Below are 18553 nucleotides of genomic sequence, written 5' to 3'. Positions count from 1 at the left end.
TATATCTGATGGAGGATAGCAAGATGGACTGCTCACTGCTGAACTCTCTGGCACCACTCGCAGAGGCTGGGAAGTCAATGAGACCCCTACACTAGGGTTGTCAGTGAAAAGGTCTGAACACAAAAAGCCTCAATCAAACACAGACTCATCTGAGTATGAACTCCTTCAATATGAATTGAGGTCCCTGAAATGAGCTCCCAAGACTGGTATGAATAAATAGATGGAAATTTCTTGGGTAAAACCAAGGTTGATTAGTCTAGCTGAGAGTGGGGAACACAGGAAGACCACATGCACAGCTGTTGCCACAGGAACTTCACAGTCTATGTTCTTCTCCCTTGGATGAACTGAGGTATGGGCAATGTACACAAGAACAACCCAGAACACTGGCATAAACACACAGCCCACACTCCCCACCACCCCCCTCCACTCATGTATACCTTAAGGGAATCCTTGAGGCTCAAGTATAGAGGATATCTAAGACCAGTGAATTCTTATTTTAATGGAAATTAAAACAATAAAGGACAGAATAAAGCCCTTGCTTTTCTCTTAGATGTTTAAAAGTTCTCCCCCAAAAAACTAAAAGACCAGGTTAAAGTTCTTAACCAAAAATGCAAAGCTGGCCAAGCCTGTCATCCAAGAGTTACTTTATATCCCCAACTGGCAAAAAGTCAAGAATCTGATCAAGAGACGGCATAAGATTTTACACTTATAATTCATGACAAATATCAGAAAAACAAAATTAAATGTTATGACTATTCTAATTATATGCCAGTTTTTTCTTTCATATCTAGCCCTACAGATCAGTTACCATTTTAAACATTTCACTCTGTTTTGACATGTGTGAATTAATCTGTTTTATTCCAAAAGACAAGTACTTTTACCTCTACAGAATTTGTAGCCATGGGGTTTTGTAATATTCTGGATTTTGTATATACTTGAGGTTCTGTAGTATACAAATATGCTATAAATTAACTGGACTTCAAAATAGGAAATCTCAAGGTCAGTTTGCAAAAACACTTTCGAATCAAGTGATTAAAAATACTTTACTGGAAGATCTCAACAATTAAAATACACTTAAGAAACATATCAACCAATTACAATTAATAAGCATTATTTGGATACTGACATAAACTTTTTAAAATATATGCAATTGAAGAAATCAGAACACTGACTGGATATTTGATGACATTAAGAAAGTAAGTTTTTGGTATGATAATGGTAATATGGTTTTTTTTTAAAGCCCTTGTATGTTAGAGATACGGACAGAAAGATTTATGGATGAAGTGAAATGATGTCCAGGATTTGCATCAAAGTAGTTGGGAATGAGTAAACGTACTGATGAGGCAAGATTGACCAGGAGCTGATGGTTGTTGAAGCTGAGGGATGGATGCATGGAAATTCATTATACAATTCTCTCTACTTTTGGATATGATTGAACTTTCCCACAATAAAATGTTTTTAAGAGTCCTGGGCTGGGCGCAGTGGCTCACACCTGTAATCCCAGCACTTTGGGAGGCCAAGGCAAGTGGATTGCTTGAGGTCAGGAGTTCCAGACCAGCCTGGCCAACGTAGTGAAACCCCGTCTCTACCAAAAATACAAAAATCAGCCGGGCATGGTGGCGGGCACCTGTAATCCCAGCTATTCGGGAGGCTGAGGCAGGAGAATCGCTTGAATAAGGGAGGCAGAGGTTGCAGTGAGCCGAGATGGCGTCACTGTACCCCAGCCTGGGCGACAGAGTGAGACTCCATCTCAAAAACAACAAACAAACAAACAAAAAACTCCTTATCTAGTAGAGATACATATTGAAATATTTAAGATGAATATGATATAATGTCAGGGATTTGCTTCAACGTGACATATGCTTTTAAGCTGCTAAATGGAAAATGGATGGTAGGAGCCCAAAATGGTCAAAAAAAGACCAATTAGGTTATTAGAGTAGTCCAGTTAAGAAGCGATGATGGCTTGGACTAGAGTGGTAGTGGTAGAGGTGGACAGAAGAGGGTGGACTAAGGACATTTGGGTGCTAGAATCAGTACAAATCATAATACGATGTGGGCAATTTCTGGCTTGAGCAACTGGATGCATGGAGGTCCCTTTACTGGAATGAGGAAGACCAGAGGAGGAGCATGTGAGAGAAAGAGGAAACAACAGTGCATACTTTGACTTGCTAAGTTTGAGTTGCTTATGAAGCATCCAAGGGAATATCAAGTAGACAGTCGGATGGGGAGTTCCACAGCTCAACTAGATATATTTGTGGTTGTCATTAGCACTCAGATGGTATTGAAAGTAACCAGAATGAAACTGCCTAGAGAGTGCATGAACGTGTGAAGAGAATGGGTCCAGGACTGAACCCTGAGGAATATCAACATTCAGTTGTTGGATGGGAAAGTAAAGGAGACCAAAGAATGCAGTCATAGAGAGCAAGAGGAAAGTATTTCAAGGAAAGAGGGAGTGGACAACTGTGAAAACACTTCCAAGAGCTCTTGTAAGATGAAAACTAAGCAGCATCCACTAGAGATGGCACACTGTCAGGTCAAGGCAGGTCCAGCAGAGAGGCAAGGACATTGATGAGGTAGCACTAGATGGACAAACAGATGAGCTAGTATGGACTGACAGAAGGACACACGAGTGATGTAGACACTAACAGACAGAAAAAGAAAACAGCCTCCGGCAGGGCAGCATTAACAGATGAGAAACGTAGACATATGGATGGGACAGAGCCCTGGCACAGTAAGCAAGAAATCCAGGCAGCTACACTCACCCTCGGTGCTCCCCGGCATGGGCCACACACTCATCCAGCCGGAAGCTCCAGGCACAGACTGGGTCCTGGGCCAGGATGCACTCTGAGCAGCTCTGGAGACGGCCACAGTTGGTTGTATTCACTTGTGTCACCTCAGTACGGGAGCCAACCAGGAGCCAGCTCTATAAAAACGGAGTGGGGAAGGGGAATACACTGGATCTCCCAGACCTCAGGGTCACAAACTGGCTCTGGACTCAGATGTCTCCCCAATAGACTCTCCAAAATCTACAACTCACGTGGTACAATTTCATGTTCTCAACTGGCTGTGGCTCTGGGAATAAGGCCAGATCTTCAAGAACGCTGAGCTGAGCTCCGATCCGCACTGCTCGGTGGAGGTGTCCATCCTCTAGGGGACAGGAAAGGAACAAGAATAATTACATAATTGCCCCTGTGCCTGGGACTCAGACCTATATGTATTACAGTACCCTCTCTGTGACGAGAATGTGTATGCACTAGGTAGGCAGCCTGCTTGACCATTAAATATACCTGTCCCCAGGTAGAGCACATCATACTCTTTCCCTGAGAGGCTGGTCACCCTGTGGGCCACGACTCTGAGATAGGCTGTATCTGTAGTGACCAGCAGGGGGTGGCCATCAGCTGGAAACACTGGCCTGTCCATGAGTGGGTGGTCCCGGATGAAGGTGAGTACGCGGTCAGGCAGGGAGAGAGATGAGCCAAAGTGCCGGAGCTTCATGTTGTTGGTGATGCACTAGAGGAAATACAGGGCTGGTGACAAAGTTTCCCAGGAACAGGACATGCCAGTGATGCTTAGTGGGGCTCTTGCCTTAATAGCAGCTCTTGACTTCAGGCCTAGAATGAAGATCTGCCCCCTCACCTCTCCAGGTCTGGGCTGGGGCACATCATTGTCCACGACAGGCAGTCCTCTGTTGCAGTCATGTTTTAGTTCTCTGAAGGGACCATTCAGCACTGTCCGAATGTCTTGTGGTCGGAAGGCACAGACAGCAGAGATAGTAGCCCCCTCCCTGGAATTCACAGGTTGGAGCTGGATATATGGAGGGGTCTGGGGGATAGCAACTCATCCCTTGTCAAATGAGATGACCCCCGAGAAACGCACAGGGAGCCATGCAGCCAAAGGCGGGAGAGCCTGCCCCCTCTGGAAGAGACAACACTGACATTGTGCCAACCCCACATATCTCCCACCCTGTAACTCTCCTCCACACCAAGACCCCTCACCACTGGGAAGAAAAGATGCCATAAAAGATGGGAGTCCCTGCCCCAAGCTCAGGTCGAAGCACAGCAACATCCTGCAGGACACTGGAGGCCCGGCCATGCTCAGGCCCTGGACAGAGCAGGTCAGCTTTCAAAAACGTCGTCCATCTCTGCTGGAGGGTCTTCCGGCCCCCGAGGTCCCCCTGGGGTGACAAACACATGGGAGGTTCTCTTTAGATGATCATCATTGGGCAAGGAGCATGGAGACCAATTTAAGTTTCCTCCCTGACTTCAGGGCAGACAGACAGATGGGGAGACAGATACATACAAATGCAAGGACAGAGAGCCACACAGAGTAGCTGCGGGGATAATGAGATATGAGGGTGAAGGGGTCACAATAACAATGACAGTGACTAAGTTAACTGTGCCCTTATAAAGTGCTGTATTATGTGTTTTACGTAAGTTACCTCATTTAATCCTCAAACAGCCCTCACAGACAGGCATCATTATTATCCTCTTTTTATAGACAAGTTTCAAAGACACTAAAGAACCTGGACAGAGTTGCAAAGGCAGCTAAATGGTGGGTAGGGCAGGGACTTGAACCCTGGTCTATCTGTCACCAGTTCCTCCCTTTAACCTCTACACTAGTCAGTAACCTCTACACTGTAGACAGTGTGTCACAAGGGTAATTGTGCGTGTCAAAGAGGCCAGAGCCTCTCTCTCACATTCCTCAAGCTCCCAGAAGAGAAGTCAAGGCAGAGAAAATAGGAGACACAGGAGAGATTCAAAGACAGAGACCCAAAGAGGAAAAGATAAGACGGGGGACAGACAGAGCAGGAGATGACAGACAGACAGCTGGGATGGGGTCTCACCGCACACACACGGGCCACCCGTGGGACTTTAATGCGCTCGTATGAGTCAAATGCTCGGGAAGTCTCCGTAAAGAAGAAGTAGATTTCGTCGTCTCCATCTTCATCCCCCCATTCGGCTGGGCTCAAGGCCACGGCTGCGACAAAGGCTGGGGCTGGGAATACCAGTGGCCTCAGATCCTCACAGACACAACCTAGGACTTCCCAGACTCCACCCCATCGGTCTCCCCAGAGGACCCCTCTCCCTCTCCCCACCGTTCAGCCAGGAAGGCAAGGTATCTGTCCGAATCCAGTCCTCGGCACGACCCACTGCTCTGGTGATAATTGGCTCCGTCCCCAGGTAGTTTTTCACAGTGGCAGCATAGAGGACCCCCCCTGCAGGGCGACAGGGAGGAGATGGGCTATCAGGGACCCACTGAGGGAAGCAACAGAGGTCACAGGCAGAGTAGGGCATAAAGCAGGGCAGCGACTCTCAGGGACTAAACACCCATGAGTGCCAGACTCTGCTGAGCACATCACAGGCATTATTGCAATTAAGGAAATCTAGACATAAACTGCTCCAGGGCAGTCAGGGAAACCAGGATTAAGAAAATATTGTGCAGAAATGTCCATGTGTATGAGAATAAAGGCATCCCTCATAAAAATCAAGCTTGTTTCTCTGGGGCTTTTTTGTTGCTATTTCAGTAATCCTGTAATGTGCTGATTGTACTGTGACTCTCCAAAAGGGGCATTTGCTTTGTAACAGGTCCCAATCTTATTTAAGTTGTCCCACTATGGTAAATGTCTCAGGGAATGAATGTTCTTTCTGAACATTAGTGGGCGTACACTGCTTTGGAACAAGTCACGATTTTAGAGAATACTAGACTCACTTGGGGAAGTGATTTAAATGCAGATCCCTGGGCCAGCAATTCTCATTCAGTAGAGCTGGGCTTGGCTCAAGAACCTGCATTTTGAAGAAGCAATCAGAGTAATCGGATGCAGGTGATTCAGGACCTCACTTTGAGAGATACTAGCCTAGGAGATGAGTGGAGATTTCACAGGCAGCCAGGAGAAACAACAAGGAATCAGGTCCTCCCTCCTAGTACAGTGGAGGGGCAGAGGTGCTCCAGGGATAGTGGAGACTGAGTAAGAGACAAATCACAGACACTCTGAGAAGGAAGGGGGGTTCAGCTCTGTGGGTTGAATGGGAGAGAACTGTAGCCACTCTGAGTACCACCACCAAGGGCTCTGACATGAGTAGGAGGAAAATGAATCAGAGAGTAGTACCAAGTCATGAACACCCTGGAGGTGTGTTGAGTATCACAGGCACTCTGGAGAGAACAAGGTTGCATGCCTTCACCAGCTACTATGTACAACAACTGTGCCGGGTGCTAAGTAAATCCCTGGCCCCAAGAACCCCCATGTGAGTCAGGAAGACAAGTGTGTAATCAGATTCCGGGAGGCACAGACCAACAGATATGGGGGACCCAGCTATATCTACCTGAGGGAACAGTATCTCAGAGGCAACATGTGAGCTGGGTATGGGAATGAGAAATTTGCCAGATGGAAGGAGGACTTCAGGGAGGAAGACAAGCAACCAGTGAAGAGGGTAGCCATGCTCAGCCATGTGGGGGCAGAGAGGCTGCTGGGCAGGGCCAGTGAGCAGAGAGGAAGCTGGAGGTGTGGGGATGGGCACTCAGTTGTGGTTGGTCTGCTCTGCCATGCCAGCAGATATGCACTTTACCCTGCAGGTAAGAATAAAACTGCAGAGATTTCTTTTTTTAGGAGGAAAGTGATATAAACAGTTTTGTTTTTTAAAAAGATAATGCTACTTAAAAGGCTATTCATACAGTCCAGGCAAGAGTGAAAGGCCCAAAGTAAGGCAGAGGCAGAGGAAATAAAGGGGCTGGATTTGGAAGGTATTTCTGAGGTAGAATCCATTAACAGGATTTGAAATTCATCCACTGAACATGAGATGAGACAGAATGGAGTAAACCAATGTCTCTCAAGGTTTCTAGCTTCTAAGACTGATGGTAGTCAGTGGTGACATTATTAACCAAGCCAGCAAATGATAGAATAAGGCCCATAAAAGAGGCAGCTGGAGAGGAAATAAGTCCACTTGTTGCACATCCTAAGGCTGAAGTGCCTTCAGGATATCAGTCAGAGATCCTGGAAAGCAATTAAGGGAAGAGCCTGGGAACAGGGCCAGAGTCAGCAACTTGGGAGTCATCACACTTCATGCTTAAGTCATGACATGAAAGTCATAGCCCAGGAAAAAGGTAAAGCCAGAAGAGAGCACTCTCATTTAAGGGGAGAGCTACCAAAGGCAACTGAGAAGATCCAGTCAGAGGCCAGAGAAGCAAGACAGGCTGATGTGCTGGAAGCGGGTGCATGAAACCTCAGCCAGAACCACAGGGCTCATGCACACTGGGGGAAGCAGCAGAGAGTGGGGGGCCACTTGGAGGGAAGCATGATCATCCTGGGGTCACAGATGCTCCAGAGAAGCAGCGTGTCTCAGGCACCAGAAAGGTAACCAGCACTGAAGAAACACTCTATGCAGAGAACAAGAGGGCCAGAGCCCTACAAGGGCAGCAGTGCAGGGCTGAAAGCCTTCTTTTGGGGTGGGGAAGTGAGACTATTCCATTATTTGCAATTATAAAAAGAATCCAAGTGTTTGGGAGCCAGGAAGACTTGGGTTTGAACCCAAGTACTAGTACTTGTATTAATACTAGTACCTAAGTATTAGTACTATGATCTTGGGCAAAGTAAATTTCCTAAGCCTCAGGTTCCTCAAATGCAGAATAGAGATAATGCCATCTTCCACTCAGAATAGTGCTAAGGGTTAAATAAGATAAACAAAGAGACCTAGCTAAGGCCTGGCACATGGTTGACATTCATTCATGTTAGTTATAGCTCCTTATGAAACTTCAAAGGGCCATATGCTTGATCTGCCACCAGAAGAGGGGGAAGCTATACAAAGATATTCCATTCCCTTCTTGAAAATTTCAGGAAAGAAAAACCAAGTATTGGTCAAAGGTCCTGGCAGAAAATGGAGCAGCAAATGAGCCAACCCTCTGTATTTCCAAGGGGGGAAAAGTTGACACAGAGGCCAGAGTTTGAAAATGTTCCCTAAGAGCATGACACATTAAATGCTCTAAAACCAAAACCCTGGCAGAAGCCGTGTCATGGATACCCTAAGAATAGGAGATGTGGTAAAGCAGACGCTGGGAGCGTGACTTGGTACGTAGGGTTGGAGAAAAACAATCATAAATATTCTGGAAACAGTAAAGGACCACAGATAACCATGCAAAGACACAGCAGTAGATAGAGGTCACAAAACTTCCTAAGTGACCAATGTGGGAGTCAGCAACACTGGAGCTCAGAAATACTGAGAAGTGCGCAGTCACTCAGAGTGGAACAGCCAAGGATCACTGACACCATGAAACAGCAGGAGGGATCAGACACTTCGGGAGCAAGTAGCAGGGCTCCAGGTGCCCTAAGAGTACGAAGGGGCTTGCAGCTCATCTTACAGACAGACAGACAGACAGATATACACGTACACACCCCTACACAGCAGAAGGAATAGCAACCATTACAATATTGAGCATAGGAGTCCACAAGATCACATGTCCTGGACTCTTCAGGACACTCTCAATTCCAAATATTGTGATTGTGATACATTGCTTATATAATAACACTGACCATACAACTGTTTGGCAAATTATTGCTGAATGGATCAAGGCCACATCCGCCATTGGCAAAAGATGATGTGCAAAAGCGAGTAATTCCCACAGTGATGAGTTTGCTCAACAAGCAGGTTAGAAAACACACCAGGAAAAATTCAACCCTATTTTTATTTTTTAAAAAATAAGTATATATGCCTGCAAGCATAGGAAAGATTATTCATTGAATAATCCTTGTTTTTTGTAGTTAGCATCTTTTACTTTTATAGTGCAAAAAAAACTAAGATATTTTCATTTTGAAAATACAAAAAAAAAGACATTGAAAGCCACAAAAGACGAAGAAACACAGCCAAAGAAAAATCATAATTATGAGTAAAAATAGATCCCAACTTGCCCAAATGGAAAGCCTATAAACATGTGTCATGGCAGTGAATATTTCTCTACAGCCTGGGGGTTTAAAATTTCTATTCTGGCATCAAAATGCTTCCTTTTAAAGGAGAGTTACAATAGGAATTATCAGTTCATTCGTTTTTTGTTTGTTACCTTTTGTTTTTGTTGTTGTTGTTGTTGTTGTTGTTGTTGTTTGAGACAGAGTCTAGCTCCGTTGCCCAGGCTGGAGTGCAGTGGCGCTATCTCGGCTCACTGTAATCTCCGCCTCCCAGGTTCAAGCGATTCTCCTGCCTCAGCCTCCCAAGTAGCTGGGATTACAGGCACCCCCCCACCACACCCAGCTAATTTTTGTATTTTTATTAGAGACAGGGTTTCACTGTGTAGGCCAGGCTGGTCTCAAACTCCTGACCTCATGATCTGCCCACCTCGGCCTACCAAAGTACTGGGATTACAGGCGTGAGCCACCATGCCCAGCCTACTTTTTAAGACAGGGTCTCACTTTGTCACCCAGGCTGGAGTGAAGTGGCGTGAACAGCCTCAACCTCCTGGGCTCAAGCAATTCTCCCACCTCAGCCTCCCAGGTAGCTGGGACCACAGGCATGCGCCACTATGCCTGGCTAATTTTTTTTAAAGACAGGGTCATTTTTAAAGATGGGGCCTTTAAAGACCCCGTCTTTAATTTTTAACAACAGGGTCTCAGTATGTTGCCCCAGCTGGTCTTGAACTCCTGGGCTAAAGCAATCTTCCCACCTTGGCCTCCCAAATTGCTGGGATTACAGGTGTGAGCTACCACACCTAGCCTTGTACATTAGTTTTAAAAAGCTAATTTTTTTTTTTTTTTTTTTTTTTTGGCCACGCTTGGTGGCTCATGCCTGTAATCCCAGGACTTTGGGAGGCTGGGGCGGGTGGATAACCTGAGGTCAGGAGTTCAAGACCAGCCTGGCCAACAAGGCAAAACCCCGTCTCTGCTAAAAATATAAAAATTAGCTGGGCATGGCAGTGCATGCCTGTAATCCCAGCTACTTGGGAGGCTGAAACAGGAGAATCACTTCAAGACAGGAGAATCACTTGAACCCAGGAGGTGGAGGTTGCAGTGAGCCAAGATCACGCCACTGCACTCCAGCCTGGGCGACAGAGCAAGACTCTGTCTCCAAAAAAAAAAAAAACACAACTGATTTTTTACATGCCTTGGCCTTTCTTCTTCCACTGCCTTTTCTTCTCATAGTCAGATATTTTTCAGGATAGATAGCTCCTACTCAAAAAGTCTTTTCCTTATTTAAGGATTGAGCCAGCTGGATATTTTTTAAAAAAAAAATTCTTTAAGCCTATTATTGGGCACAATTAGATGATTGGAGATGCAGTGTTGACTCTACCTTTCCCTCTGTTGGCCATGTAGGATTTCTGTAGCTGTCTTGTTTTCATGTGTGAATGCTAGTCTCAGAGATTTAAGAGGTAGACTTGGCCTCAAAATGCTGGCAGCATGCAGTGCATCTGGAACATTTGCAGAGCTCCTTGGCAGATGCGTTCATCACAAGATGCAATGACACCAAAACCATACAATAAAAACACAGGATGGGTTCCCAAAGAGAAAGAGCAGTCTTCTGCTCTTCTTGATAGAAACCCTATCTATTATAGGATGTGATAGGGAGGCCCAAAGACAACTGACTGCTGTCTCTAGCTTGGGTACCTGAGTGAGTATGGCACTATACACTCGGAGGAGGGAAGACTGACAGAGAAGCAGGTTTGGGGGAGGTGAGTAAAGATGATGAGCTCACTTTGGGACATGATGATTTTCAGATTCCTGTGGGACATCCAACTGAAGATGTGTGGAAGGCAGTTGGATGTGTGGTCTGTACCTCCACGTAATGTCCAGGAGGCAGATGCAGATTTGGGAGCCATCAGAATGCAGTGGAAACAGAAGCCATGGGCTCACTGAGATCACAACTACACAGAGTGAGAAGAGAAGAGGCTCTTAGGTAGAAGCCTAAGGAACTCCAACATTTAAGAATGAGCAGAAGACAAAAGGCCTGTCAAGGAGACTGAGAAGGAATCACTGATGTTCTTAGGCTAATGTGAATGTCAAAATATTCATATTTTTCCAAATTAGAATAGTGCAAATAAAGACAATGAGATCATTTACTTAATTGTATCTAAGTATAGTACAGATAAACTTCGTATTTGAAAATAAGATTTCGGAGGCTTTCCCAAAAGAAATAGAAGTACCAATAAACACATGAAAAATTGTTCAACCTCACTAAAAGAAATGCCAATCAAAATATATATATCATACTGGACTTTGTAGGAGGTCACTGTTTGTTTGTACATATTACTTGAGACTGGCAATGGGACAGGCCCTTTAGCCACTGCTGGTAGCCATTGCTGGTAGGACTAACTGGAGAGCAATTAATTTGTCCAAATCCATCAAGCACCATCAAAATCTATACTCTTACACCTAGCAATTCCACTTTTTGGATTGACTCATATGCAATTAAGTAGATTAATGCAAAGAATTATGTAAAAGGATTCCTGCTGCAGCATTATGTTTAAAAACAATAATTTTAAAATTTGAATGTATAATTATATAGAAATAATTAAGTCATGCTACATCCATCTGTGTATGCAGCACAAATTATGTAATTGTATGCAACTGCTAAAAATCATGTTTTGAAGAAACAATTTCTATGATGAGAAAATGCTCAGTATACAATAGTAAATGAAATATACATAATTCCAAGTTATAATAAATACGCAGACACATAGACACAGTAGAAGAAAACACTCAAAATACTCCAAAATAATAATAGTGGTTACTTGGTAATGATAGAATTACAAATAACATTTTTACTTTCTTCTTTATATATTTCTACATTTTCTCAATTTTCTACAATGCACATTGTAATTTTTACAATTTTAAGTAAATACTCCTATTATATTCTAATCATATTTTCATAATTAAAAGCTCTTTTCATTTCAAAATACTGCTATTATCTTTAAGGACATTTTTACAGAACCTAATTGGGAATTTTGGTTCTAATGATTATATAATGTTACCACTATTTCTATACTGCTATTTTCAAAACAGAGGCAAAGCAAGGCATAATGAATCATTCTTGAAAGCCCCAAGTAAATGCTAGCACTTATGTCAGACCAGGAAAAACTTTTAAATTATAACCCTGTAAAGTAATAACTTCAGATGAAAATGTATAATATTAGTATTGACTATGATTTGGATCTGAGACAGCTAGAGACATAGAGTTTCCACATTAACTGAAGCTAACCATTCTAAACCATTAGGAAGTGAGTTCTGATCGCCTCCATCAATTATCAACTGAAAGGCAACCCTGAATTTTATTTAAAAAAAAAAAAAGACTTAAAACCTTTTTGAAAATGTTCCTCCCACTTTGTCTTATAATGATCTTTATGGAATTTGTATTCTTGTGCTCGCTTCAGCAGCACATTTACTAAAACTGGAAATTTGTATTCTTAAACCACATTCTAATATGAATTCACTTGCTGACCTAATAAAGAGAAATTACTCACAGAGGGCTAAACATGCTTAAAGATTACTGCTTGAGGCCAGGTGCAGTGGCTCACGCCTGTAATCCCAGCATTTTAAGAGGCCGAGGCAGGCAGATCATGAGGTCAGGAGTTTGAGACCAGCCTGATCAACATGGTGAAACCCCATCTCTACTAAAAATACAAAAATTAGCCAGGAGTGGTGGTGGGCGCCTGTAATCTCAGCTACTCAGGAGGCTGAGGCAGGACAATCACTTGAACCTGTGAGACGAAGGTTGCAGTGAGCCGAGATGGCGCCACTGCATTCCAGCCTGGGCGACAGAGCGAGACTCCGTCTCAAAAAAACAAAAAAAAAAAAAAACAAAAATTACTGCTTGAAACAAAAGTACGATAAATGATTATCTTAGAGTGTTGCAAGTAAGAAGTCATTTTGCTGATAAACAATTTTATAGACTCAAGAGATATCACAACCACGAAAACTCAGAAATCTTTAATGACTCTGAGTGTCATCAAAGATGTTGATTAAAAACCTAGAAAAATAAACTATCCACTAAATTGTTTTATTCAAACATGTATAAGGAAGGTCTCATCAATTTCAACAATAGATAATGATAATCATGACAACTCAAAATATTGTATTTAGTCAATATATACTTTATGCTCATTTTCAAAAACTTTTTTTTATTTTTCAGAAAAAGATAAGTCATTAACTATAAGACTAAAGAGTGACTTAATGGCTGGGTGCGGTGGCTCATGCCTGTAATCCCAGCACCTTGAGATGCCGAGGTGGGCAGATCACGAGGTCAGGAGATTGAGACCATCCTGACTAACACAGTGAAACCCCATCTCTACTAAAAATACAAAAAATTAGCCGGGCATGGTGACACGCGCCTGTAGTCCCAGCTACTCGGGAGGCTGAGGCAGGAGAATGGTGTGAACCCAGGAGGTGCAGTTCGCAGTGAGTGGAGATTGCGCCACTGCACTCCAGCCTGGGCAAGAGATCAAGACTCTGTCTCAAAAAAAAAAAAAAAAAAAGAAAAAGAGTGATTTAATTTGTATAGCTTTTAAAACTTTCCCTAAAAAATAAAGTCATGCATAGGAAAAAATTTTCATTGTTAGATCTTGTGTCCCAATTTTTGTTTAACATAAAATATTTCCCAAAAATATAGGTAAAAATTAATTTTATGATAAAGTTGGCAAAAAAAGTCAGCAAGGAAAGAAAAAAACAGTATGATCAATGATGCTGAGTCAACTGATTAGCTAGCTGGGAAAAATTAATTTAGATCCCCCCTCATGCGATTCATCAAAATAATGCCAAATATTAACAGATCAAAGAGTTATATGTTTGGAAAAAATTTTTAAGAAAAAATGTTATCTGCTCTTTAAGTGAAGGATTGAGCTTAAAAATTATATACAATCACAAAGGAAAAGATATGTAATTGAAATACTAATATCCTACCTCTTAACTGGTCCAAGAACATGAGCAGAGGATTTACCAAAGAAGAAATAAAAATAAGTACTAAAACATGAAGAACATTCAACTTCACTAATATTCAAAGAAATACAAATAAAAACAAGGTGTCATTTTTAGACTCAAAATAGCAAAGATTTTTTTAAATGACAACAATACATTCTGGTGAAATTTATGTGAGAGAAAAGCCACTCTCATTCACTGCTGATTTAGGGTGTAAATTGGTATACCCTTTCTAGAAACTCAATTAGCAACAGATAATGAGCCATTAAATGTTCACACCCTTTGATACAGTAATCCATTTCTAGGAATCTTAAGAGGACAACCTAAAATGTGAGCAAAAATTTATGCACAAAGATGTTCATTACAGTCATATGGATACTAGCAAAATCTTTGAACTAACTAAATTTATATAAATAATTTGGAATTGTTTAATTCATGGTAGGTTAGCAGAATGAGTAACATGTCATTAAACATTATCTTTACAATGAATTTTTAAATTATATAGAAATGCCTGTGATATAAAATTACATGACAAAATTCAAAATTACATCCATGTAGCATGACATTTAAAAGTTTTATACTGTGCACATGCTCATAAAATTTCCATTAACCTGCTTTACACTACCACAAGAAAATGGCTTTTCACTGAATTTGGAAGGTGCATGTTGGGTGGTCTGACCTAAAATTCAGGCTATGTGGCACAAAAAAAATTTGCTGTGTGGCTGCTAATAAATTAGACAGTCATTCTCCAGAAGAGGTTTAGGTTTGTGATAGAATCATTTCACACTTGAGGAATCACAGGCAGCTTGTTCAAAAGAAGTACTAGCAGGAATTTATTTAATAGTCATTACTGACTCCCCTGAGCAACAAAGGACTGGCAGCAAATGTATGTGCATGAATGTACATGGGTGTGCACACACATTAATATCCATTTAGGATATGATATGGCTTGGATGTTTTGTCCCCTCTAAAACTCACATTGATATGTGACCTCCAATGTTGGAGGTGGACCTAGTGTGAGGTGTTTGGGTCATGCAGGCAGATGTTTCATGAATGGCTTGGTGCTGTCCTGGCAGTAATGAGTGAGCTCTCACTCTGAGTTCACAAAAGATCTGTTTAAAAAAGCACCTCCTCCCTCTCTCTCTTGCCCCCTCTCTCACTATGTGACACACTGGCTCCCCTTCACCCTCTGCCATGACTGTACGCTTCCTAAGGACCTCACCAGAGGGAGATACTAGCACTATGCTTCATGTCCAGCATCCAGAACCATGAGCCAAATAAACTTCTTTTCTTTATAAATTACCCTGTCTCAGGTATTTCTTTATAGCAACACAAATGGACGAATACAGGGTATTAGGAAATATCCTAAAATATTAGCAATAATTTTCTAAGTAGAGATATTTTAGAATTACACTAATACGGTACCACTAGACACACAGGCCTATTTACGTAAAATTAAATACTATTTAAAATTCCTTCCTTCAGTCACACTAGTCACATTTCAAGGGCTCTATAGCCACAATAGCTAGTGGCTACTGTATTGGACAGTGCAGATGTAGAACATTTCCATCATTACATAAAGTTCTTTTGGAAAGTGCTGTTCTAGAAGTTTTCTTCATGTTCTTCTTTATACTTTTTCCAAATTTATTACAATATGCATTGTAGTATATTCCACTTATTAACAGGAATAAAAACACTATGAGAAAAGAAAATGAGGTTAAGAGAGGAAACATTACACTAGAGGTGCAGAGGACACATTCTGTGGAGAGAATCCTGGGGATATCATACTAGGTGGGGAAAAGCAGGTGGTTACACAGGCACTCAGGGAAGAACAGGAAAGGCTAAAAAGAGACATGAGAATAATAGACATTCCAAGGTAAGAAAGAACACAGAAATTCTAACAGCAAGGGTGGGGAAGGAGGCAATTAGCAAGAAGTTACAGGTTCTTGTCTCTCCCCACTCACCAGCCATTACAGCTGCTGACCGCTGAGCTGGCTCAAAAGGACATTTCCCCCGGCCACTCTCAAGTCTTTCAACCTGCTGGAACCTGGACACATCCTATAGACCAGAAGGGGGCAATTGGTTTAGGGGTCATAGGGAAGGTTCATGGTGAGAATTACAAAGATGGTCAGATGAAGGAAAAGGTCAATTCCCATTCCTCTCCCCTTCCACTCCCTACCCCCAACTATCATCCCCATATTACCAGTCAGCTATTCCTGATGCCCCCATCTACTCCTGCATTTCTCATCTCTGCTATCCTTTGTTCATCAGTTTATTCCTCTTCCCTCAATTCCCCCAGCAGCCAACACCCACATGCCCTGATGAAGAAATTCCTAGGACAGCCCAAGAAGCACCTAAGAGGCTGAAGGTAGGTCTTTCCTCTGAAACACTGCTGAACTGTAGGGTTTGTAACTGGCTGGAGAATATGCTACATGACAAGAAGGATCAGGAAGAAAGCAGGCCTCCTGAGGACTGGAAACCTTAGAAAGGACAAAGAAAAGTGCAGGCTGATAAAGGACCATCTGAAACCCAGAGGCCTAGAGAGACAAGGGCCATCCTCCTCCTATTCCCCACCCCAAGGATGAAAGACAGAGCTGCATCATACGACCAAGGGCAGAGGACAGGGGAACCAGCAAAGTCAGTAAAGAATGACCTGAAGCTCAGGTCAGAATGTGAGAGTTTGGTAGTAAGTACCTTCCTCACCCAGGGACTCCAGAGGGACTGACATGGGCAAGGAACAAGAGGTGTAAGAGCTTCATCAGGGCCAGCCAGAAGTTACCTTAGTCTAGCATTTGGCACTAAGAGAGGCTTCAAGATAACATCTAAAAACAAGGATGATTTCAACCTAGGACTGAGAGGGAAGTTAACAGTGGCTGGTTGAGAGTCAAAGTTATGGCACGGAAATGCCAGGGATGATATCTTTAGTTCACAAACTGGCGTGGGCATATGGTGTCATTGGAGCCTAATTACTTCCATGGTAGCTGTTGCAGAAATATCGATATATATCCCCTGAAAAATAAGTGTACTACTGGCCCACTCCGATTACTCATCTCTTGTTCTAGATGGCAAACAAGATTCTATTTTACTGAGAGTCTGGAAGAAGGCCTGTTAAAACTTTTGAAGTCCCCAAAAACGGAATGCTGGGTCAGAAGAGTCTGCTGGAATGGAGGACTCCACAGAGGCACAGCACTCCAGCTGTGTGACAGTGGGAGCATCCTCACCTGAGAAGAAAGATGGGTTTGGTGAGAGATTAACAAGATGGTTGGGCACTCTAGAGATGTGGTACTTACCTGCTGCTGCTTCCCTTCTTACCTCTCACCTAAACCATGGCAGTAAACTCCTTTCTCCACATCATCTAGCCACCCCCACCAACCAAGTTATTCTAATACCCACCCAAGATTAATCTGAAGTATTGGTCACTGACTTAATAATAACTTTTTGTGCAAGAGAATGAGAAAATAGTCCACCATTGCCTGGAGTACAACCTCATCAGCCAAACCTACTTATTTTCAACTACTTTTCAAAATGACCTTTGTTCTATCCAAACCAGATCACCTGTTATTCCTGGAAGACAAATAATGTTTTCTATGCCTATAACTACTGCCTTACATTTCTCCAAGGACTAAAGGGATGAACTTTTTCTCAGTTCTCATTCTCTTTAACCCTTATGCACCATTTGATACTTTTGACTCACTCCCTTCCTTGAAATATTCTATTCCTTGACTCTCCTGAAACTCTGCCCTTCTGGAATCCCTCCTATCTGTTATTTCTCCATTTCCTTCTTCTTCTTTCTAGCTCCCACATGTGTATCCTAAGAATCCACCTTTAGTAGCTTTCACATATGCTTCAAAGATCTCATTCATTCTTTCCAGCCAGATATTCTATGCAAATCATTCCCCAAACTCTCCAAATCTGATATCTTCTAAACTCTAGCCCATATTTTTATTTGACTGCTGGACTTCCTCACAGAGATTTCCTATCTGCCCCTTAAAACTCAATATGTTGAAACTAGTTCTTTTTCAGTTTTCCCCAGCAGCATCATCATATCATCCAGGTTTCTAACCTTTGAAGAGGTGAGCCTCCTATTAACTAGATAGGTTATGATTATTGCATGGTCAAAATGACATTTAACTCGGGTCTGAAAGAGACATGACCACTCCACTATATTATCTATCTGAATGTTGAGATTCTTCATTGTATCATCATTGTGTTAGTCAGCAGCATAGTCTCTGAGAATCAGCTGTGGTAAAGCAAAGTCCCTGAAGCTGAAAGCTGGAGCTGGACAGGAAGGCTCTCTCTGAGCTATGGGTTGGAACTGGTCCTTTGGCCTTGGCCAAGAGGAGTTTAAGGCATAGGAAGGACCTTTCCCAGGTGGCTAAGAAAAAAAGCAAAGAAAAGAAAGATGGTTCCTAGTACATGAAACACATCAAATGCCACAAGAAATTGAAGACAGATAAGGTCTTCTGGGCTGCAGGCTAGACTAGAGGGACAGGATAGTGGAACAGAGCCAGAGACAAACACAGGTTTAAATTTTGGTTCTGCCTCTGCTAGCTATTCAGTCTTAGAGACAATACTTAATTTCTCTGAACTTCAGTTTCATTACTTGTAAAATGGAAATAATACCTAAATATCATGATGTGGTGATAAGAATTAAACTTAATCCTTAATGTA

The 18553-nt window shown here is 42.6% G+C and overlaps 1 protein-coding gene across 16 annotated transcripts in view; it reads right to left on the bottom strand.

Annotated features, from left to right (window-relative positions):
- The window catches only part of SEMA4F (ssemaphorin 4F), a 55165-nt gene that overhangs the window by 30740 nt on the left and 5872 nt on the right, over positions 1-18553 (bottom strand). For 12 of the 16 annotated variants that reach the window (XR_007068742.1, NM_001436846.1, NM_001436847.1 and 9 more), the window contains 8 exons: positions 15847-15940; positions 5096-5215; positions 4844-4995; positions 3996-4174; positions 3637-3784; positions 3288-3510; positions 3038-3147; positions 2763-2923 (listed from right to left, as the gene is read on the bottom strand). Coding sequence is in view for 12 of the 16 variants with exons in the window: in NM_001436846.1 (NP_001423775.1) it covers positions 2763-2923; positions 3038-3147; positions 3288-3510; positions 3637-3784; positions 3996-4174; positions 4844-4995; positions 5096-5215; positions 15847-15940 (1187 nt within the window). In the remaining 4 variants the exon portion in view is untranslated. Of the gene's footprint in view, positions 1-2762; positions 2924-3037; positions 3148-3287; positions 3511-3636; positions 3785-3995; positions 4175-4843; positions 4996-5095; positions 5216-15846; positions 15941-18553 lie in introns of those variants that run through there. The other 4 variants (XR_001738589.3, NR_073399.2, NR_073398.2 and 1 more) reach the window with 4 other exon arrangements.

Source organism: Homo sapiens, chromosome 2, assembly GCF_000001405.40.
Source record: "Homo sapiens chromosome 2, GRCh38.p14 Primary Assembly".
Classification (NCBI taxonomy): Eukaryota; Metazoa; Chordata; class Mammalia; order Primates; family Hominidae; genus Homo; species Homo sapiens.
This window is presented reverse-complemented; position numbering and strand designations above follow the sequence as displayed.